This window comes from Homo sapiens, chromosome 2 (genome assembly GCF_000001405.40).
Source record: "Homo sapiens chromosome 2, GRCh38.p14 Primary Assembly".
Taxonomy (NCBI): Eukaryota; Metazoa; Chordata; class Mammalia; order Primates; family Hominidae; genus Homo; species Homo sapiens.
The window spans coordinates 8,279,915-8,303,196 of record NC_000002.12 but is presented as its reverse complement, the minus strand read 5'-3'; the positions used below and the strand labels follow the sequence as shown (position 1 = coordinate 8,303,196).

Below are 23,282 nucleotides of genomic sequence, written 5' to 3'. Positions count from 1 at the left end.
GGGTCCAGGATGTGTAAGGCACTAGTACAGCACCTGAGATATTTCTGAGTGGTGGGACAGAGAATATGGTACAAAAAGATGAATGAGACTGGATGCAGTGGCTCACGCCTGTAATCACAGTGCTTTGGGAGGCTGAGGGGGGAGGATCGCTTGAGGCCAGGAGTTTGAGACCAGCCTGGTCAACACAGCAAGATTCTGTTTCTTACATTAAAAACAGCAACAACAACAACAACAACAACAACAACAAACAACCACCCATGAACAAGATCTAAGGAGTGCAGGGAAGGCAGTGGGTGCCTCTCAGCACACAGTGAGGCTGGTGCGCTGAGAGGTTTCCCCTCATTGGGATTTCTTTGTTCTCTTTGCTATTCCTCCCATTCAAGCAACCCTTTCTCTGCTCTTCCCTAGGTAAGGGGTGTGAGAGCAGAAAGACAAGCAGTCCTCTTTCGGCTGCAGTGACCATTGGGGTGCTCTGCCCAGGTCTCCCCGCTAGCTGCAGTGACAGTTGATGATGGCCATGGCAGAGCCCGCACTGGATGCCCCCTCCTGCTGCAGGGAATGGCCTCTTTTCAGGTCATATCCCCCAGGTTCTGAAACTGACCGAGGAAGGAACGCAAAGGCTCGGCCCTCTTGCCTCAACTTGGGACAACTCTGATGGGCCGTCCCAGCTCGAGAGCGCCACTTAGGATTGGCTGGGGGTGGCTCCAAGTGTAGCCTCGTTGCAGCCAGCTTCAGCTTCTGCAGCATCCTGCCTTTCTCACTTCTTTACAGGAGAATCTCCCGAGAACACCCTCTGATCAGCACTCTGCATGCAATTTCCATCTCAGACTCTGTTTCTAGGAAGACTTTCAGGCAGCTGACACTGGACGTGGTTGTGAGTTGCAGGCCCTAATGAAAAATTGGAGAGGAAGCAGGTGGCCGGCTGATGAAATGATAACCAGAAGGCCTGTGGGCTTGGGTGGCTGAGGCTGAGGCTACTGAGTGTTGAAGAGAGAGAGGCAGAGGCGCAGGATGACTCATCACTGGTTTCAGGCAAACTGTGAAAGCCAGAGCACTTCCTTGGCAGCATTTAAGAAAACCCCGATGATCTGCAGCTGGAAGGCAGGTTGGCTGGAGGACCAGTCTGAACCCTGAGTAGGTTAAGTTCTCAGTCCTTCAGACACAGGGCTCTAATGGGAAAGAGGTGAGACCCTTACACTTAGGGTGGGAGCCCTGGACAGTTGGGAACCCTGAACACTTACATGCCCCTGAGTCCCCTGGGCCTGCAGAAATGGCCTATTTCTCATGTCATGTAGAAGATTGTAGACTGCTTGAACCTGGGAGGCGGAGCTTGCAGTGAGCCCAGATTGCACCATTGCACTCCAGCCTGGGCAACAGAGCGAGACTCGGTCAAAAAAAAAAAAAAAAAAAAGCAAGACTTTCCTTTTCTGAAGATCATACAGAGGTCTCAAATGAGGTAGGTATCATACAAGACAATGCTTGACCCATCAGGATCTACCCTCATCTTTCCTGTTGGCAAAACCAAAGAATAACAAGAACCAAATCTCAGCACAGCCCGACTGGGGATGAGCTGGGCTGGCTTGGCCAAAAGGGGATATCAGGTGAAGGAGCTGTGGGGTCGAGCTAATATGTTGCAGAGGACCTGGGAATATATTCATGGGATTGGATCAAAGAGTGTAGATATAAAATCGAATAAGGTTGAGTTTATTGAGAGGGAGCAATCTAGGTGGTACAGGATTAAGCATCTTGGTCAAGATCCCTGGAGAGAATGCTAAGACTCAACTCAGATGTTGCTTAAAAGCCTAGAGAAAGCAGTGACCCACACTCAGGCAGATGGTGGAGAGAGGGACCAAATGGCTCAGAGAAGTGGCCATGCTGGAGTGGACATGCTAGCATCCATGGTGCTGACTATCTTCACGAGATGGCCTGGAGGACTTCCCATGTACAAAGGAATGCACTGGTGAGAGTGGCCCCAAAGTCACTGAGCTCAGGAATGGCTGTGCTCTATGTGCCAGAGCTGATGACAGATGATGAAATCACAGAACTGGCTCCTGGTAGCAACGGGGATGACAGGATCCTGGGATTACAAAGGCCAGGTGGTATGCTCACCATTGGATGCAAGGCAGAGGCCATGATCACAATGAGAGGCAAGATCAGTGGGGCACCCAGGGGGTTCCTGCCCTGCAGAGAGCTCTCAATAGGCTCATTGTTTTAGGAAGGAGATAGATGGGCACCCAACAAGGGCAATGCTTAATTTCTACAAGAAAGCACGTGTGGATTACCAGGAGGTACAAAAGTCAGGATCTTTTGCCTAGTTTCTTGAATGGAGCTAATTCTCAGCCCCAGAATCTGTTGACTGAAGGAGGAGCAGAGCTCTTCCCAGGAAGGATGGTACCATATTACAGCAGGTGCATTCAGCAATAATTCCCCCACTTCTCTCCTAAAGGTATCTAGGACATTTATTTAGGCAAATGCACACTGGGGAAAGACGAATGCCTTAGCTTTTCAAGGACTATTAAGCTAACATTGATATTTGGAGACCCAAGATGCTACCATAGCCCTCCTATTAGACTGGAGACCAGGAAGGCAGGTAATAAATGGAATCTTTTTTCAAGCCTAGCTCACATTCTTCATTTCCCTGGTTCTCTAGTATAATAGGAGTGAATGGCAGGTTCATTGGCAGAACCTGCACGTTGGCTCCTTGGCCTAGAATAAAAGATGTTGTAGTGGGGTAGGCCTCTTCCCCTACGAGATCGTAAACCACAGATATGACCACATCTTGCGTTGATGGCAGGAATGTCAGACATGAGTGTTACCCTCAAAGACTTAAAGGATGCAGGGGCTGTGGCCCTTGCCATAGCCTCATTTAATTCACCATGGTGGCTGCCCCTCACACAGACCTGGTGGGCCATGATGGGGGACAGTAAATATCCATACAGCGAGTCAAGTCATATCTCCACCTGCAGTGGCTGTGCCAAGCATGGAACTTTTGCTAGACAAGATTAAACGGAGTCTTTGGCCTCTCTAAGGAAGCTATTGACTTGGTGAACTGTTGTTTTTCATCCTTGAACAAAGGAGGATCAGAAGCAGTTCACATTGACCTGGAACAAACAAAGAATACTTTTATGGTCCCATTCCTGGTCCATGTGAACTCTCTCACTTTGTTGCTTAAAAAAATTCTTATTTATGGTTTATTTTGCATATTTGTTTCTAAAACAGACTCCTCATATAATAAATAAAATCATAATATTTTGATAATGGTAGAGACTAAATCATACAGTTTGTTGATTTTATATTTTTAAGTGCATCTTTAGTTTTTAAATGAGGCAAATTTCAGTTGTCTCTGAGGAGCTTAGAATTATCCAGTTATTTTTTAAGCATGCTAACTTTTGTTGTTTTTTAGTCTGAAGTCACCTGCCCTATCTGGACATTCCATAGACTACCACTTTTACCCACGACTTCGATGTGGCATGCTCATTGGACCAGATAAGCAAGCAGTGGCAAGTGGATTGGAGGTCTTGGTAAGCCACATGCATAGCGAGGCTGGGAGGTCAGCCCTGTGAAGACTTAGAGGCCTTCCACATTGGTGGAGTTTTTAGGGACTTAACAGGAGAGTCCCTCCAAAGTAAAGAGAGATTGCACTTCATACCTCCTCCCATTAAAGAGGTAGCACAGTGCTGAGGTGCCTCTTTAGCTTCTGGAGGAAGCATAGTTGGCCCTCGTGAACACATTTTGAACCCATTTTCTGGGTGGTGTGGAAGGCTGTCATCTTTGATTGGGACCCAGAAAGAAAAGCATTCTCAGTAGGTCCAGGTGATGATGGTGAAAGTAACCTTGTCATTTGTGCCATACGACCTGGACAACTGTATGGTACTCTGTGGCATTTATGGTGTGGTGTGGCAGAACTTGACGGCACTGCATGCACGTATGATACATCACAGAGGTATGGAAGGGACATCATGTGGAGCTCATGGCAAGCCCTGGGATAATCACTGCACTCCTGGCATTCTGGAGAAAGGCCATGCCATCAGCACCAAAGAATACATCATTTGAGAAGTGGCTCCTGGTGTGCTTCTCAGCCCTGATAGAGATGAAGCATTTCATCATGCGAGGTTGAGTAACCACATGGCTGGGCTGGTTTCTGTCAGACTCAATTGCTTATACACTTGGGTGGGCCCAACAGAAGGGGAAGTAGGATATCTAGGACTGAACATGAGCAGGGCCAGAGAGAACAAGGAAGTTGCACAAATGGTTTGCTTGGCCCTCAGGTCATCCACCACTCTTGTTCTGCTCTTTCTCCATCTGCTTACACTGATCGCCTTCTCTCAGGCCAGGATGGCTTGATTCATTGGCGCATGTGCATTTAATATGGATTGCAGGCAGCAACACTCAGGGATGGCCCTGGGAGACAGCAGTGAGGGGAAGTCTTCTGATGCACTTCCATCTGGGGAGGTCCTCTGGTCATCCACTGTGTAGGGAAAGTGAGGTGGCCTGAGGTAAGCATATGTGCCCTGTGACATTTATGGCAAGGCTCATGGGCAGTAGGATGTTAGAAAAAGAGAAAGATTGGAACACAAGAGACAAGGAAGTCTGGGGCAGGGGCCTGTGGATGGACCTATCAGGGTGAGTGCAGGGTGTGAAGATCTGGGTATCACATGGTGATCACCAGCAAAGAGCACTCACTGTGGAAGGGGCAGAAACAACCACATAGGCGACTTGGCTGATGGACATTAGTGAGCCTGTCATTGTCTCACCCAGTGCAGGAACAATGGATGCCCTAGTTGCAGAAATGAGGCTGTGCAAGAGCCCATCAGCACAGGCTCCCACTCTCCGTGGCTCTTCTACATGCTGCTGCTGCTGAATGTCTAATCTGTTGGCAGCAGAGACTAGCAACACCAAGCCCCCATATTAGTCTTTTAAAGAGACTAATCAACTATTTGGTAGCAAGTTGGCTCTGTGGACCTTTTCTCCCATGCAGGGGATAGAGACTCCTCTAGACCTGGGTCATCAGATAGTCTTGGCATAAGTTTATCTTTCCTGCCTGCAGGGCCTACGCCAGCATCACCATCCACCAACACAGGGTTCCACCTAACAGTGCTTTAGGTCAAGAAACCCATTTTATCGCAATGGAAATTCAGCAGTAGGCACATAACCATGGGTTCCAGTTTCCCCATCGCATATGACGTCACCCAGAAGCTACCAGCTTGACAGAGAGGTGGATGAGCCTTCTGTAAATAGTTAAGGGCCCAGATTAGAGATGATATCCTATGAGGATGGGCCACTGTCCTCCAGGACAGTGCACATACTATGTCAATGCTGCTGTGTCCCAAATAGGTTGGAACCAAAGAAAAGAATAGTAGTAGGAGCAGCCGTACTTAGCAACACCCCCAGTGACCTACTTAGGGAATGTGTGCTTTCTTTCTCTGACATATGAGGTTCTGTGGGTGTAGAGATCCTGGCTTGCAGAGCAAGGATGCCTCTGCAGGAGGACACAGCAAAAGTCCCAACGAACTTTAATTTACACCAGCCACTTTGTCACTTAGAGTCTTCATGACAAGGATCAGCCATAAAGGAAGGGAGATATCATCCTGGTGGGCACAGCTGGCCAGGGGAAGTGGGGCTGAGGATGCACAGGGCCAGGGCAGAATTGATTGTTGCTCAGAGGATGCACCGGGGTGTCTCTTGGTGCTCCCATGCTCAGTTTTAACTACAAGTGGCCAAGTGCAGATGTCATAGCTTGCAAAGGGAATGATAACTAGAGGTGCAGACCCTTCAGAGATGATGGTCTGGACTGCCTCACTAGGCAAGCTACGTAGACCAGCAGAGGTGCGAATTGAGGATGGGGGGAATCTCCAACCAAGGGTGGAGGAGGACAATGATGAATATTGGTTATAGCCTTGAGATCAACTGCAGCAATGGGGGTTGAAATTTATTCTACTAATCTTCCCTTGTAAATTTCCCAGGTAACCAGTTCAACCAAAATCCTGGGACAGCTGTTCCCTGATGCGGCACACTTCCTAGAAGAAGCAAGTGAATTTAAAGCAGAGTGAACTGTAGAGGAGTTCACGACCAAATCTCTGATGCTTTCCCCAGATCTTTCTTCAGGGCCAACACATCCATTGCTCAGCTGTGATAGACAGCAGTCAGGGGTGGCTCACCTCTCTCACTGGGAATTGCTCTCAGCAGTAGGGAACTCATTCAGGGTTAAGGCATCTCCTTGAGGAGGCCCATGTTCAATTACTGGTTGACACAGGAATATGAAGGCCTGGCCCTCGTCTCAGCTTGGAATAAATCTGAAGGCCCATCACAGCTTCAGAGATGCTTGGAGAAGGCTGAGGTCTCCCCTGTAACCTTATGGTGAGTTGTCTTCTCTCTCTGCCCAACTCTGCCTTCCTTCCTTAAAGAGGTTTCTTTGACAACACTTCTTGTATTAATCTGTTGTCATGCTGCTAATAAAGACATGCCCTAGACTGGGTAATTTATAAAGGAAAGAGGTTTAATGGACTCACAGTTCCACATGGCTGGGGAGGCCTCACCATCATGGCAGAAGGCGAATGAGGAGCAAAGTCACGTCTTACTTACATGGTGGCAGGGAAGAGGGGGTGTGCAGGGAATTCCCCTTCATACAATCATCAGATCTCTACAGTCATCAGATCTCTTGAGATGTATTCACTGTCATGAGAACAGCATGAAAAAGAGCCGCCCCCATGATTCAGTTACCTCCCATTAAGATCCTCCTATGATGTGTGGGGATTATGCCAGCTACAATTCAAGATAAGATTTGGGTGGAGACACAGCTAAACTATATCACTTCTCAGTAACCTTTTTCATGCAATTTCAGGCTGTTTCCCGTAAGCTGGATTTTAGAACATCCTAGGCCTCTAGGATATTAGGCTTTATGGAATATGTCAGGTTCTAGAAAAAACGATCATGAGCAAGAGTAATAATGACTCCTCACTAAACAAAAACAAAATAAAACAAAACAAAAAAAGAAACTTAGGACAAAAGTTTCTCAGTGAATACTCTTTTATTATTATGCTGTGGCTATGACTCTCTTTATCCCTAAGGATGTTTTGCTTTAAAATTTATTTTTGTCTGATATTCATAGAGCTAATTTCATTTTATTGGTAGTAATATTTGCCAGAAAGACCAAAAATCTTCAAGCTATGAGTTTTGTTTTAGTTAATGCAAATTTGCATTGATTTGAGTAGAAAGCCTATTTTTCATTGTAAATTCTCAAAGCCTTCCCCTGCTCTTAGTCCAGTCTTCTCAGCACCAAGGCGGTCCCTGTGTGTTTTTGGGTGTGGGATTTACTTCCCCTATACCCTTACAATGAGGATATAATATTTTGGGATCCCAGACTTATGGAAGAAGCCTCTCCTATTGGACTCTCTACTTTTTAATGGGACCTGGGCTTTTTCATAAAGGCTGTGAAAATGAAAGTTCACCAGATTTGCTTTTAAGGCAGAAATTATTTCATTGCTCTTATTCCTCGTTACCAACTTTCCCTTAGATTTTGACCTGATAATTCCTTATTATGTAATAAAGATGTTTTTAAGAATTTTAAAACATTTTAATCCAGAATTTTTAGTGTTTGATCAAAATACTCAGCCTTGCATGTTACTGGAAACAGAAATCCTAGAGGTAATTTTTTAAACAAAGAAAATTTCGATAATGGTGAAATTTTAGCATCTACTCACTCTGCACATGCAGGGAACTCATTTAATTGGTATGGTGCAAATATACACTTTGAAATTGGCATGATGCACTATGGGATCCTGAGGCTCCATCATGTTCATTTTAGTTCACTTTATGAGAGAGAGAGAGAGAGAGAGAGACTGTTTCACATTTATTGGATGGTGTTTCCGAACAATTTCAACAATTGATTTGCATTATACAGTCGAGACAATAAAATTGAAAATAAATTAAAGCCACTTAAACAACTGTTTTGTGGAATAAATATGTAAAATTTGAATATTTATGATGGTAAATCAGATTAAGTTGCTGAATACTTTTTTCTAATTTTTCATCAATGATGCAAAGCTCTCAGGAGTAAGTTTATCAAGTTTTTGTAGTGTGTTTTGATTAAATATAAATAAACTAATCACATTTTTATGGTTACAAAATAGTTCATTAAATGGGGAGGCAGTGATAGCAGACTTTTCCTCTGGAAACACACAGTTAGCAATGTAGATTTGCATTCCACAAAGGCTAAGAAATGATAACAGGTTTTATATAGCTGATGAGAAAGCTTCGTGTTGACTTTTAATAACCATTACACTGAAAACTAAGTTTTAATGTTTTGAACTTTTTCCAGAGAACCTTGAGTTGTTGAACTCATTAATTCTTTGGGACCATCTTCCTGATGTTCAAGTTTGTGAAACAGGCTTTCCCTTTAAGATTTGTTTTCCTCAAAATACAAGGTATGATATTTGGGAGAATTTGTAAGTTTTTTTACTAGGGAATATAAGAGAAAACCCATGATTTATTTTAGTGTCCTTATACCTTAGACTATTGATGCTTCAGTTTTGAAGTGGATTCTGCACTCAAGAAATGTACCATTGAAGAATGGGACTGGTAGGAAGGTGAGGAAATGGAAACTCTGCAGTTAAGTAACTTGTCCTTGGTCTTCTACCTGATAAATGGTGGGACACTTTTCTGCTCTGCCAAATGACACCTTCACTTCTTGGATCCCCTCCAACTTCCTAAACCCCTTCCCTTCCCTTCCTTTCTCCTCCATCTCATGTCCCTAAGCAGACAGAGGCACCCAGGTAACGACTTCATCTTTTCACCCATATCTTCCTACGCACATTCCATACTTGAGATCAATTGCAGCAGTGGTGGTTGAAATTTATTCATCTAATCTTCTCTTGTAAATTTCCCAGGTAATCAGTCCATCCATGATCCTGGCAGAGCTGTTCCCTGATGGGGCACACTTATTAGAAGAAGCAAGTGAATGTAAAGGAGGATGGACTATAGAGGAGACTGCGGTGCTCTCCCCAGATCTTTCTTCAGGGCCAACACATCCATTGTTGAGTTGTGACAGACAGGAGCTGGGGGTGGCTTGCCTTTTGCTCTGGGAATTGCCCTCAGCCATAGGGAACTGCCTTACTCAAGGGTCAGTCACCTTCTGGAGGTTGGCTCATGTTCAATTCCTGGCTGATACAGGAATGCAAAGGACCAGTCCTTGTCTCAGCTTGGAACAAATCTGAAGGCCCATCATAACTTCAGAGATGAAGGGTGGGAGCTGCCTCCACTCCCACCTATCCCCCTGTAGCTTCTCTCCATGGCCAGTGTTTGGAGTGTGCCCTGCACTCCATCCCCCTAGCACTCCTTGGCTTTGCCTCTGTATGAAGACCTGTTCTTCAGTTTCTACTGCACGTTCCCATCAGCATTCAAACTCCTCTCAAGTAAACCCAGGACCCTTGTTTGACCTCCTGTGCCTCTCAAGCTCCTTACAGGAGACCTCTGCTGAGATGCCTCACTCTCTAATCCTCTCCAATCAATGCAGGTTGGAAGCCTATACTTCATGAAGCTGCTCTGTGAAGGTTACCTCTACCTTAACAAATCCTGTGCAAAGTTCATTCTCTACATCAGTGGTATCTTTCAGCAAAGTCTGGCACAGAGCTCTGCTCCTTTCTTCTAGAAATAGTTTCCCCCATGGATTTGTGGGACATAAACAATCTTATGGGTGCTGTTCTGCCCGGGTTCCCTGGCCACTCTTTCTCTCATAGTGACTCCCTGCATTAATTTCCTATTCCGCTGTGAAAAATCACCACAAACTTAGTGGCTTAAAACAATGTGAATTTGATATTTTACCCTTTTGTAGGTTAGAAGTTCAACAAGGATCTTTCTGGGCTAACACCAAGGGGGTGGCAGGGCTGTCTGTGTTCCTGCTGGTGGTTATAAGGGAGAAATTCCTTCCTTGCTTTTTCCAGATCCTAGAGGCCACCTGCAGTCCTTGGCTTGTGACCTCTTCCTCTATCTTCAAAGCTAAGAGCCTAGTGTCTTCTCTCCTCTTTGGCCTCTGCTTCTGTCTTACATCTTCTTTCCCTGCTTTGAACTCTTCTCCCTCCTCTTCTAAGGGCCCTTGTCAAACAGGCACCCACCCAGGTGATCCAGGATAATCCTCCCCATTGCAGCATCCTGAGCTCATCTGCAAGGTCCGTTTTCCCACATAAGAGAATGATTCACAGGTGCTGGGGATGAGGACGTGGACATGCCTTGGAGGGGTCATTATTCAGCAGGCCACAATCCCTCTCCCTAAATTCACCTCTTAATTTTGGAGCACCCCAAATTTTGTTCTCTGCTCACTTCTCTTCTCCATCCACACTCTCTGAGGAGAAGAGCTCACCAGGGACCGTGGCTGTAAATGCATTCTTTGAGCTGGGGTTTTTCAAATTCTATCTCCACTCCGGACATCGCCCCTGAGTTCCAGGTTTGTATTTGTATCCACCTGTGTGCATTGTCTACCCAACAATTCACGTGGATGTTTAATAACGATCTCAAACTCAAAATATCTACAAAAGCCTCTGAATTTCTCCCCCAAACCTGTTTTTCTGCACCCTTCCTATCTCTGTTAATGGCTCCACCATCCACTTTGTTACCTGAAGAAAAAACTAGGAATCTTCTGGATTATTCTAATTTACTTTATCTACCTCCTGCATCTAATCTATGAGCAAAGTACCTCAGCTGCCATCACTGATTCCACACTTCCTCCACCTCCTGCCTGGGCTTGAGAAGCAGCCACTCAACTGCTCTCTTTGTTTCTGCTTTTCCCATCTGAGGTCTACCTTTCACCCAAGATTGAGGTTTTTGTCGTTGTTGTTGTTGTTTTGAGATGGAATCTTGCTCTGTCACCCAGGCTGGAGTGCAGTGGCACGATCTCAGCTCACTGCAACTTCTGCCTCCCAGGTTCATGCAATTCTCCTACCTCAGCCTCCTGAGTAGCTGGGATTACAGGTGCCCACCACCACGCGCAGCTATTTTTTGTGTTTATAGTAGAGATGGGGTTTCACCATGTTGGCAGTGCTGGTCTCAAACTCCTGGCTTCAAGTGATCCACCCACATTGGCCTCCCAAAGTACTGGGATTACAGGTATGAGTCACCCTGCCTGACCCCAAGAGCTAAGTTTTAGTAACTACTTTTATTAGCAATAATTTAAAACCTTCCAAAATATACAGAGAGTGATAAAGTGAGCATCCAGGTATTTATCACCTAGATTTAATGTTGTTAACATTTTATTTTATATCATTATCTTTTAAAACAAAGAAATGATCACATGCTTGTGAAGTCTTCTACTTTTTCCTCCTTAATCCTGTCCCCAGCTCTCACCAAGGATAGATGGCATTGTGTGATATGTTTTTACACTTTACATAAGTGTTTTGTATTCGAGGTTTCTGGCACTTGATGTTTTTAGAATTATATTTGAAGTGTATACATGTTAATGTACATAGATTGGCTTCATTCACTTTAATAACTATCATTATATAAACATAGGACAACGTAGTTAATCATTTTCCTGTTGTTAGGCATTTAATGGTAAAATTCACTGCAGGGAACATCTATGTGCCTAAATCTTCGTGCACAAGTGTGAGAGACAGTAGAAAAATTTGAAATTTTAATGTAGCTAAGTTTATCAATCTTTTTCTAAAATGTTAACTTGTTTAGAAAAGCTCTTCCCAACTCTATGAAGGCATTCAATTAAATCTTCTAAAATTTTACTTTCTAAATTGAGGTCTAATCATTCTGGAATGTGTGTGTGTGTGTGTTAGATATGGTTAGCCAATTGTTCATCACAATTTAATGAATATTCTAGTTTTTACCCACTGAATTTTAAGGCTGCTTCCATAAAGTACCATGTTTCTAAAAGACATAGTACAGCAGCGGTCATGGAGGCATACAGCCTGGCTCCAAAATCCGGCTCCATGACTGATGAGGAGGTGAGTGTGCCATCTTTGACTGCTTACACACACTCTCTGCATCTCTGCCCCAGTTCCCTGCGCTTGTAAAAGGAGAAACTATGAGTAACTACTTTTTGAGTATTAAACGAGCAATACTGAACTTTGATCCCTTCATGCAGAACCTGGCACTAATACTCCGTGAATGTTAACTATCTCATTTAAAGTATTATACTTTTTACTTTAGGTAAGTCTGCTTTGGGGTTCTCTATTTTGTATCATTGGTTTAGTATACCATATCTATATCAATGATGAGCAATTCAGGTACTATAGCTTTATAGTAATCTTGATACCTGAGAGTAAACGTAGCAAACATTGCTATGGTTCTGCTTGCGCTGAGAAAAGCAATATTAAGATTTTGATTGCAATAGTATTGAATTTATAGATTATTTTGAGAGAATTGCATAGATTATTGAGTCTTTCCACATGTAAACGTACACTTATCAACTTACTTTGTCTTCATGCGTTTGAAAAATGCTCTCTATTGTTCCTCATAAATGTCTTACCCATTTTTTGTTAGGTTATTTCCAGGCAACTTATAGTTTGTTGCTACTGAAGAATTTTTATGTTGTTACTTAAACATTATTTTATTTTGTTTAACTTAAAAATAGTGTTTGTTTTTTACTGCTATTGATTTTTTGTTTTGTTTTGTTTTGTTTTTGAGAGAGAGTTGTGCTCTTATTGCCCAGGCTGGAGTGCAATGGTGTGATCTCAGCTCACCACAACCTCCACCTCCTGGGTTCAAGTGATTCTCCTGCCTCAGCTTCCCGAGTAGCTGGGACTACAGGCATGCACCACCACACCTGGCTAATTTTGTATTTTTAGTAGAGATGGGATTTTTCTGTTGGTCAGGCTGGTCTCGAACTCCTGATCTCAGTGATCACCTGCCTCAGCCTCCTAAAGTGCTGGGATTACAGGTGTGAGCCACTGCGCCCAGCCTATTACTGCTATTGATTTTTAAAACTGGTTTTGTGTTCCAGCAACTTTATATTTAATAATTTATTTGTGGTTTTCTCATACTTTTTCTAACATTTTTCTCGATTGCTTTCCACTCATTTATATTTTTATGTATAACTGTGCGATAATAATTATTAATGTTTATAGAGGTTTTTTTAAGTGCTAGATACTCTTCTCAACACTTTGCATGCATTAACTCTTTTCATCCTTGTGACAACTCTATGAGGTATGTTGTATTATTATTCCTATTTTATTGGTAGTGGTAAAGAAAAAAATAATTCAGACATTTGTTAAAACAGTAAAGAAGGCTTTATTTGGGGTGATACAAATAGGTGTCAAGACTGTGGCAATTGGGAGAGAGATAGGGCTCAACCGTGAATACAGCAAGACATTTGGGGCTTTATGGCCAAGGAGCAGAGTGGGAGTGGGGTGGAGCGTAGATAGAAAATGACTAAGAGGAGACATCGAGGGTAGGGGATTCTTGCTGAAGGTAGGTGGAAGACTCAGACATCACAGGTGGAAGATGAGGAACTGATCACATATGGAGGGTGATCAGATATCAAGGCAAGGATTCCCAATAAACTGACTTAGTGGAATTCTTGCTATGACTGGAAGAGGTGGGCTAAAGGCAGGGCCCAAGGATGAGGCTCAATTGAAAAGAGGGCTCAGAGGAGCTTGACTGAAGTTTGGTGTGGAGAGAGTCTGCCAGTAAGCAACTGAGGTGCACAGAATTTAAATCTTGCCTGAGATGACACAATAGTAAGAGCCCAGCTAGGTTTGAAATCCTGATAGTTTGGCTTTAGGGTCAATGTTTCCCACCCATCTCGTGAGTAGCAGTGGCATCTGTAGGGACTATTGCTTTGTGACATGGTTGGGCTGTGTCCCCACCCAAATGTCATCTTGAATTGTAGCTTCTGTAACTCCTACATGTTGTGGGAGGAAGGAGGGAGATAATTGAATCACGGGGATGGTTTCCCCCATACTGTTCTTGTGGTAGTGAATACGTCTCATGAGATCTGATGGTTTTATAAGGGGAAACCCCTTTTGCCTGGCTCTCATTCTCTCTTGCTTGACGCCATGTGAGATGTGCCTTTCACCTTCTGCCATGATAGTGAGGCCTCCCCAGACATGTGGATTTGTGAGACCATTAAACCTCTTTTTTTTTTTTTTTAAATAAAGTGCCCAGTCTTAGGTATGTCTTTATCAGCAGCCTGAGAATGGACTAATATACTTTGTTACTGATATTGATGGGAAGGAGGTCAGTTTGCACTATTTAGGATGATATTGTGGAAAGTTTGGCTAAATACTATATCCGTAGCTGAAGAAATTCTTATATATTGCTCAGAAGCTTTTTTTCTTAATCTTAAAGGAATTTTGAAATTTATTGAATGCTTTTTCTGCATCGAATGAGCTAACCTTATAACTTTTTCCCTTAAATCTGTTAATGTGGTGAATTCCACTGATACATATTTTTTATATTGAACCATCCCTGTATACCTAGGAAAAATCATAAGTCAAAGTAGAAATAAATTGGTTGTATATCTTAAATATCTTACTTTAGCTTTAACGTTTGAAACACAGTTCCAAGATTTTTGCTTTTGTTTTTTCCTTTAAAAGAATCCTTGAAAAGCTATTGACCAAGTATCTTTGTGAATACAAAGCACTCAATTCTCATTAATAATAATAATAATGATAATTAGCATTATCCTTTGCTTAGAAACAAAGATAAGAACAGAAGTCAGTGATTATTTGCAGCATAAAGTTAACATAATATTTAGTTAATCGATGTTGATTTTGCATTTTATCATCAAAACGCTGAGTAAAGGGCAAAGAGCTTTCCTCTAATGTTTCAAGATTTGTTGAATTAGTTCCAATGTCTACTGACCATCATGTGGAAACTATAAAGGGTGCTCTCTTGTTGTTTCTTTTCTTTCATGGAAATTGTACAAGCTTTCTGGGTGTGTAGGTCTTGGTGATATCATAATCAGCTGAAGGGACTGGTTGCTGTGTGTTTGGGGTTTAGAAGACCTGAATAGGAGGCATCTCTCTGCTGTAACTACTCCTATTTGTAGTGTGTGCTTGGCTGTAAAGTAGGGGTGACCACGCCACCACCCAGCCCCACCTGCAGCTTTTGCATAGATTGAATGAGATTGGGCACTAATATCCCTTAGAAACACTCTCCAAATGGGATACGTCCCCCTTGCCTTGGGGGTGGTGAGGACTAGGGAGGAAAGCCAGCAGCTTAGCTTCATGGCTGAGGACAGTTAGACCGAGGGGTGCTTCCATCCACACTCCGACCGTGACTTCTCACAGCAGCTCCCCCTCTGCACAGTCTCTGCTCCTGATCAGGCAGGGACTGAGCCATGCCATATCACTCATTTTGCAAAACGTGTTCTGAGACTCAAGTCCTGGTTAGGCTATACTTGCTCCTTCGGTTGGGGTCAAATCCTGTGAGTTTTCCATACTCTGGGATGATCTCTCTGCTCTCTCCCTGCTCTTCTTCTCCTCTCCCTCTAAAGTGCATTTGCTGGTGCAACTGTGGCATGGTGTCCTTGTGTCAGGAGTGCCACCTTTGAGCTGCCCCCTTGCTTCAGGGCCCCAGTTCTTCCTGGGCCCGATTCCTGTCATTCTGACAATGTTCCATTCTCATTTGGCAGCTGGGATTCTTATAAAGGGGCTCAATTGCATTAATGCCTATGTTCCGGTTTTGTTTGTTCAAAGGGAAAAAAACTAAAAGGAAACGCATTTTCGAGTTGCACATCATGATCAGGCACAGAGTCCAGATACACTTGGAGTAGCAAGCATCCATCCTTGTGGAGACGCACATGAACCAGGACTCTCTGCACCCACCCCTCTCAAGTTTTATTTTCCGACGGCTGTAATGTTCCAGGACACCTGCCATCATGGAGGGTTATCCAGCACCTGGAGGATACCTGCTACCTGTGAGCTTCCTCTCAATTGTTTTATTATAATTTTTGTTATTACAGGATTAATTTGTTTTAATGGGGACGTTTGTCTTCTCGCTGTTTGTGTACGTCATAAATCTGAAGGGGAAAATACAGAAACAGAAGGGCGTGTGTCTTTACAAGTGTGTTTGGAGGCAAACCAAATGGTACATTTCTTTTCAGATGCTTTCTGCTTTGCTTTCTGATTTTTGGTCCAGGACTTTTGGAATAAAAATACGATGGCTTCTTGTTATAAGGACTGCTAGTGTGGCTCCTCCATGGGCTGGCTGCATGCGTACGAAAGCCAGCTCCTGGGCTTGGTTGTGTTGACTCATGAGCCACCAAGGGATTTATGCCTTGGCCCTAAAGAATAATGTAATGCAGGTTTTATTACAGTGAAAGCTTAACATTGATGTTAATTTAACAGTACAGTCAACTTTCAGTTATCCATGCTGTTGAAAGATGGGGTGGCATGGATCATTCCAATTAATGAATGGCCTGGATTATTCTTTTCCCTTCAATTCATCAGACTTGCTGCTCTAATTTTGCTACAAGGGACTAATGTTGAAATGATCATGAAAGTCGATTTCTGGGAAAGCAGGTAGGAAGGTCATGGTGTGCCGTGGATTGTGTGAACCCCTGTAGCTGTCCCAGGCCAGCTGCTAAGACTCGGTGGAATAAGTGATTCTCCATGGCTCAGTCTAACCCAGGTGTTGTGCAGAGGAAAACAAAAAGTTTTAATGCAGACCTCAACTGCAATGTGTTGTGGTTAAGAGAACAGTGTAAATTCTCTTTGGAGTATATGCTGTTTTCTTTTTAAGCAAAATTCCTCCTTGGGATGAAAGGCATAGTTTGGAAGAAAACCATAAATGGAGATAAAAGTACCCCATTTTGCATGAAGAAATGAGTAATTGAGGGTGGAGATGGGAAGGAGAGGCCTGTGGAGGTGAGCAAACATCTTTTCTTACAGAGCTGATGGGATTCTTGAGAACAGGGGCATCTAAAAGTCAAGGTACATGTCCCTGGCAGTGAAGGCCCCTGATGTAACAAAACCCCTTTACTCCAAATCTTTGGCCAAGTGTGCTGCGAACAAAACCTTAGCATTCGTTGGTGTGATGATGTTTGGGGACAGGTCAGCTGGGAGCTGCCCTGGGTTTGTTGTGAGGCAGAGGAACGACAGTCCCCAGTGGGGTCAGATGAGGTGAGGTGTGGGCAAGAGCCACCCCTGGCAATATCAGTGACTCGAATTAAAAGGCATCTGGGGAGGACTTGGAGCTGTTCCCTGGGCATGCAGGAGGGAGGTCAAAGCCATTTCATGCAAGTCATCAAGGACAGGGTGAAGTCTGTGGATTTATGCCTTACATAGTCTAGACAGCCAACCAACAGGACTGGTAGCCAGTTAGTTATTCGCTGACTTTTAGCCTGACTTAGAGCTATGCGAATGTCTAATGAATCCTAGAACCTTGTATTCAAAGTGTGGTCCTTGGGCCAGGGCAGAGACACCACCTGGGAGCTCATTAGAAGAGTGGAATCTCGGCTAAGCGCAGTGGCTCATGCCTGTAATCCCGGCACTTTGGGAGGCTGAGGCGGGCGGATCACCTGAGGTCGGGAGTTTGAGACCAGCCTGACCAACATGGAGAAACCCCATCTGTACTAAAAAATATGAAATTAGCCAGGTGTGGGGGTGCATGCCTGTGATCCCAGCTACTCGGGAGGCTGAGGCAGGAGAATCGCTTGAACCCGGGAGGTGGAGGTTGTGGTGAGCCAAGATCGCACCATTGCACTCCAGCCTGGGCAACAAGAGTGAAACTCAGTCTCAAAAAAAAAAAAAAAAAAAAAAGAAGTGTGGAATCTCAAACCTTTGGAGGCCCGGCTTCATGTAAACAAGCCAGCAGCCCATCCCTGGAGACTCCAGCCACACATGTGAGCCTGAGAAGGGCTGGCCTGGAACATACCACACACAGTGCTGGGGAGAGGTGGGCGTGGAAGGGGGAAGTGAGGGTCATCCTGGGGCAGTCAAATCAGGATTTTCAAATGTTTTCCTGGTATGCTGAGTGGCTCCCCTCTCCCCATGTGCTGAGACGCTGGCCTCCAGACCAGTGCCCCTCATGAGCATCCAATCCTCTCCTGGATTCCTCAGTTCCTCTAGCTCCTCTCTAGAGGTCCAGCCTGTAGGGGGAGATATTTGTTCTCATTTCTCTTTCTTTTCCTCCCCCTTGAAATCCAAGAGTGTTTGTGTGGTTACCTTTACTGTTTAGCTCACAAGGCATCATCGTAAGAGAAACCCAGAAGGGTCACCAGGGACCTTGGACTCTGATGAGTTCTGACGTTGGAGTGGCGGTGGCGTGGCCTTGCCTTGGGATCAACTTGACCTGTCTTCGTTGGGAAGGGGAATGTGTTTCCATCAGTGTATTGTGTTAGGCAGGGATATTTCTGAATGCATGGGATAATGTTATGGGTGTGTGTTGTGTTGTGTTGTGTTGTGTTGTGTTTCCCGTGTAGCTAAATGATAGGAAGCAGTTGAATGACTTTTGGGGTGCCTGCTCAGTTCATTGTTTCTTATTTTGGGGAGGCTTCATGGCCCACTGGGCAGGCAACTGTGGATATGTCTGTACTATACGACCCTTTTCTCCTGACAAAGGCTGATTCAACCTGGCCTTATGTGGGATAATCTGACACCTAGGGGACCTGAGACTTGGAACAAAGGGCCACTTTGATTGGGAATGACTGCAGCTGAGTCACAGTAATTCTGCGATCTGACTTCTGTCTGTGCATCATGTGGAATAGGACTGTATTTGAGAAAATAGCATCAGACTCTTCATGTCCTTTAACTAGGCTGGGTGCCTGTATTTTTCATCCATGGAATATATGAGGCATGTTTATTACGTGCTGGTTTCTGTGCTAGATCCTAGGGCTATCTAGCCTTGGCTCTCATGAAACTTACTATCCAGGGAAGAAGATAGACTCTAATCAAATAACCACTGAAATAAATGTAAAACCATAGCTGCGATAGCTGATGTGAGAGAAAGGGTGTGCAGTGCTGGGAAGCAGTGTAAGAAGGAGAGTTAACTTAGGGAGGGAGACCAGGAAGGATCCCTGGGAAAGGGACAGTTGGAGGGAAGTCCAGAGGCAGACTAGGGACCCCTGAGACATGCAGGCCGGGGTGAAAGTGCTCTAGGAGGGACGAGTGTATGCAAAGCCATGTGTTAGAAGAGATGAGAGCGGACCAGCCTGGCTGAAGCCAGGGCACCGAAGGGGAGGGACTCTGGGTGAAGTAGGTGGGGACCATTTTAAGGACCTTAGCTGCTGTGGTTGATTCCTACTAGTAATGAGAAGCCTTGAAAGTAATTTAAGCCGAAGGTAGTGGCTGGTGGTGACTGATGGGATGTGTCCCAGAGCTAGGGAGGATTGGTAAGAAATAAGTAACTAAATATATAAAATGATTTTTGCAACTTGGAGAGAAAGATGAATGCAGGGCCAAATCACCCACCTTTAAAAAGGATCAAGGCAAATTGTGGGAATAAATCTGAATTGCGCCCCTACGTATTGATGGCTATGAACACACTTTAGAAAGGGGATAGAAGGGGCTGGGCACGGTGGCTCACACCTGTAATCTCAGCACTTTGGGAGGCCAAGGCGGGTGGATTGCCTGAGGTCAGGAGTTCGAGATCAGTCTGGCCAACATGGTGAAACTTCTTCTCTACTTAAAATACAAAAAAATTAGCCAGGCATGGTGGCATGCACCTGTAATCCCAGCTACTCGGGAGGCTGAGGCAGGGGAATTGCTTGAATCAGGGAGGTGGAGGTTGCAGTGAGCTGAGATTGCGCCACTGCACTCCAGCCTGGATAACAGAGCGAGAGTCAAAAAAAAAAAAAAAAAAAGGGACAGAAGGTTGAAATGCCACATGCTGTAACTATAGGCTGCGGAAAAGACACACAAATGGAGAGTGCAGTGAGAGACAGCTTTCTCAGTGTTAGCAAAATCACAACTATATGGGCTGCATTCTTCTTTTTTAAGTAAAACGGAAAGAAATTTTGTTTCGCCAGGATATCTGCAACTTTATTTCTCGAAGCAAAAGTCAAGGTCTGATAATCGCCTCAAGATGATGGTTTGTGGCTTAGTAGAGCCTCGCGGCACCCTTGGCTCTGGTGTTTCCTTTGCGCTCCCTCTTGCAGTCACCTCAATTTACTGATTTCATTAGGAGATAAGGGGGACAAAGATGGGTTATAATACTTGAGAAAAATGCAAAACCATTAGCAGGTCATTGTTGAAGTCAGAACATGCCCTGTTAAGCTTCTTAGGCAACCCGTGGCAGCCAATGATACGGGGATTAACCTGTCCGGTGTGTGTGCGTGCATGTGAGTGTGCAGGCCTGCATGCGTGCACAGGCCACGCGCCCATCTGCCATGAGGAACTTACATACGATAAGCTCTGTCAGTGAAGTGATGAATACACGGGTTATTGACCAAAACAGTTACTTTTTACTTGCCTTTCTGTTTTCTCTCATTCTAAGTTTGAGGCTCCAGTTAAACATGCATCTGTTTGGCCTTAGGGCTGTATTTGGGTGGGCAGGCAGGAGGCTCTCTGAGCTTGGTTCTGCTAACCAGCTGGGTCAAAAGGTATAATTGGATATGACGGTTAATTTTGAGAATCAACGTGATTGGGCTAAGGGATGCCCGGGCAGCTGGTAAGCATGACTTCTGGGTGTGTCTGGGAGGAGCTGAGACTGAGTAAAGAAGACCTGCCCTCCCCAGTGTGGGCAGGCATCAGTCAGCCTGCTGACAGCCTGAACCCAACTTAAAGGGGGAAGAAGCGGGGGTTCTCTTTTCTCGGATAGAGCGGGGACGTCCGTCTTTTCCTGCTGTCCTACACTGGTGCTCCTGGTTCTTGGGCCTTTGGACTGAGACTGAACCACACCCCCAGCTTTCCTGGTCTCCAGATTGCAGACGGCAGATCGTGGGACTTCTCAGCCTCCACCGTGTGAGGCACTTCCCAGAATAAACCTCCTCTTCTCTATTTATAATCTATCCTATTCATTCTGTTCCTCTGGAGCACCCTGGCTGAAACACTGGATGACCACCGCAGCTCCTGTGTGGCCCGCCCAGTGGCCAGAAGGTGACACAGTTTCACCGTGGGGTGTGATGTGGCATCTGAGAGGCTGCCTCGGTGGCTGCTCCTCAAAGCTGAAGAAGCGAGCAGAGGGTCGGTCTCTCCTCATCTTTGCCCCGCGGAACGAGATAAGGGATGGGCCGGCTAGCTGGCGGAGGGCGTGTCCTCACTTGAAGTCTTGAGACTTCAGAAACAAAACTGAAGATACGTTTTAACACTGAAGGTTGTTGGTGCTTGTGGGAGTTTAAAGAGCAGGAAGGGAATTTTCCTCCGTCTCTGTTGTCCTTGTTTATTTTTGGTGCAGGCAGTGTAACAATTTGCCAATACCTGATATGGACGTTTCAGAAGATTGTGGGTTGAGGGGTTTTCAATACTTGTTTGAAATTGTTGAAATTGTCTGAATTGTTACGATAATTGTATGGAAGCATTATGCTCAGAGGAAGGTGGGGAGCTGCTGTGTTTTCGAGGGCAGGGCAGGGCAGGAAGAAACAGGCTGCAAGTACAGCAAGCAAAGGGTGAGGCGGGTGGACAGTTGCGGAGTCTCGGGTGGGGGCTGAAAGCCAGGCCCCCTCCTCACCTTTCTGAGTGGGGCTGGCTGAACCACAGGGCCACAACCATGGGCTTCCTGAAGGCCTGCCTTTCTTGAGGGTGTGATTTTATGAATTGAAAATTATTTCAATTATTCAGCTAGCCATTCATTTACTGCTTTTAAATTTGTGAACTTTGGAGCTGAGATAATAAAACCTAAGACTGAACCTTCACCTTTAGCAGCACTGTATCTTCTAAAAATCAACATTGATACTAAAATATGTGGCTTCTAGTTCTGCCCAGGTCCACGTGGCTTTGAATAATTACCACTCTCGGTGCTTGTCCATCTGTAAACGGGGAATAATAGCACCAAACCTGTTTCTCTTACATGTTGGTTGTGAGAACCAAAAGATAATATACATATACAAAATGCGCTGAAAAATCTCCAGTGCAATGCCAGCCTGAACTGAGAGATTTATTATTAGGCACATAAAAGAGTAGGCATACAGAGGTCTAGAAAGCTCACCTGGGCTGGGTGCGGTGGCTCATGCCTGTAATCCCAGCACTTTGGAGGCTGAGGTGGGTGGATCACTTGAGGTCAGGAGTTCAAGACCAACTTGACTAACACGATGAAACCCTACCTCTACTAAAAATACAAAAATTACACGAGTGTCGTCGTGGGCACCTGTAATCCCAGCTGCTTGGAGGCTGAAGCATGAGAATCACCTGAACCCGAGAGGCAGAGGTTGCAGTGAGCTGAGATCATGCCACTGCACTCCAGCCTGGACAACAGAGTGAGACCCTGTCTCAAAAAAAAAAAAAAAAAAAAAAAAAGAAAGCTCACCTGTCTTTATTTTATTTTTTGCATTATGGACATTCTGTTTGTGAGTCTTTAGTAAATATACAACTATGCAGGTAAAGTCAAGGCAAGAGTCAAATTTTACATAACAACTTGAAAACACTTTCTGGGGATTTGTCTCCTAATAATATACGACTATTTCAGTCTTCTGTTTGTGTTGATTTACCGGAGTAGAGTTGCCAGATAAAATACAGGATGCTTAGTTACATTTGAATTTCAGATTAACAACAAATATTTTTTAGCATGAGTATGTCCAATATTTGAGACATACCAAACAAAGTACTTGTTATTGATCTGAAATTCAAATGTAACTGGGTGTCTTGCATTTTTATTTGCTAAATCTGGCCACCGTATACTGGAGGTCCTTACAGCAGACACCTGAGAGAGAAATCCCATTTTCACATAAACTGCTTTTTTTTATCTTTTTTTTTTTTTTTGAGACAGAGTTTTGTTCTTGTCACCCAGGCTGGAGTGCAATGGTGCGATCTCAGCTCACTGCAACCTCCGCCTCCCAGGTTCAAGCAATTCTCCCAAGTAGCTGGGATTACAGGCGCCTGCCACTACATCTGGCTAGTTTTTGTATTTTTTAGTAGAGACGGGGTTTCACCATGTTGGCCAGGCTGGTCCTGAACTCCTGAGCTCAGGTGATCCACCTGCCTCGGCCTCCCAAAGTGCTGGGATTACAGGTGTGAGCCACAGTGCCTAGCCTTTTTTATCTTTTTTAACAGAAATGGGAATCAATGAATTTATGTTGGCATGTTTGGTAATTTTTTTGCACCTCTCTTCTTTATTTGCAAAATGGAGAGACTATAGTTGTCCTCAGTCTTGGCTGCACATTGAAATCCCAAGGGGACCATTTACAGCTTCTAATGCCTAAGCACCAGAGTCCAAATACATGAGGATCTCGGGTGGAACCTGGGGGC

At 44.6% G+C, this 23,282-nt stretch overlaps 1 long non-coding RNA gene across 2 annotated transcripts in view, besides 3 other annotated features; it reads left to right on the top strand.

The window, feature by feature from the left end:
- LINC00299 (long intergenic non-protein coding RNA 299) overlaps nucleotides 1–23,282 on the top strand; it is a 320,649-nt gene that overhangs the window by 25,223 nt on the left and 272,144 nt on the right. The window contains exons 3-7 of one of the 2 annotated variants that reach the window (NR_034135.1): nucleotides 3,404–3,521; nucleotides 6,254–6,357; nucleotides 8,318–8,423; nucleotides 8,511–8,585; nucleotides 15,639–15,859. This is a non-coding gene — a long non-coding RNA (long intergenic non-protein coding RNA 299). Of the gene's footprint in view, nucleotides 1–3,403; nucleotides 3,522–5,963; nucleotides 6,358–8,317; nucleotides 8,424–8,510; nucleotides 8,586–15,638; nucleotides 15,860–23,282 lie in introns of both variants that reach the window. The other variant, NR_152741.1, reaches the window with a different exon arrangement.
- Nucleotides 806–865: an enhancer, noted in NCBI's record as "active region_15253". NCBI's record gives its function as "activates an Ori minimal core promoter by ATAC-STARR-seq in GM12878 lymphoblastoid cells {active_cell/tissue: GM12878}" and the evidence as "EXISTENCE:reporter gene assay evidence [ECO:0000049][PMID:35858748]".
- Nucleotides 1,971–2,527: an enhancer, noted in NCBI's record as "NANOG hESC enhancer chr2:8440800-8441356 (GRCh37/hg19 assembly coordinates)". NCBI's record gives its function as "activates a minimal SCP1, AML or CMV promoter by ChIP-STARR-seq in primed H9 embryonic stem cells {active_cell/tissue: H9 hESC(primed)}" and the evidence as "EXISTENCE:reporter gene assay evidence [ECO:0000049][PMID:30033119]".
- Nucleotides 21,265–21,765: an enhancer, noted in NCBI's record as "H3K4me1 hESC enhancer chr2:8421562-8422062 (GRCh37/hg19 assembly coordinates)". NCBI's record gives its function as "activates a minimal SCP1, AML or CMV promoter by ChIP-STARR-seq in primed H9 embryonic stem cells {active_cell/tissue: H9 hESC(primed)}" and the evidence as "EXISTENCE:reporter gene assay evidence [ECO:0000049][PMID:30033119]".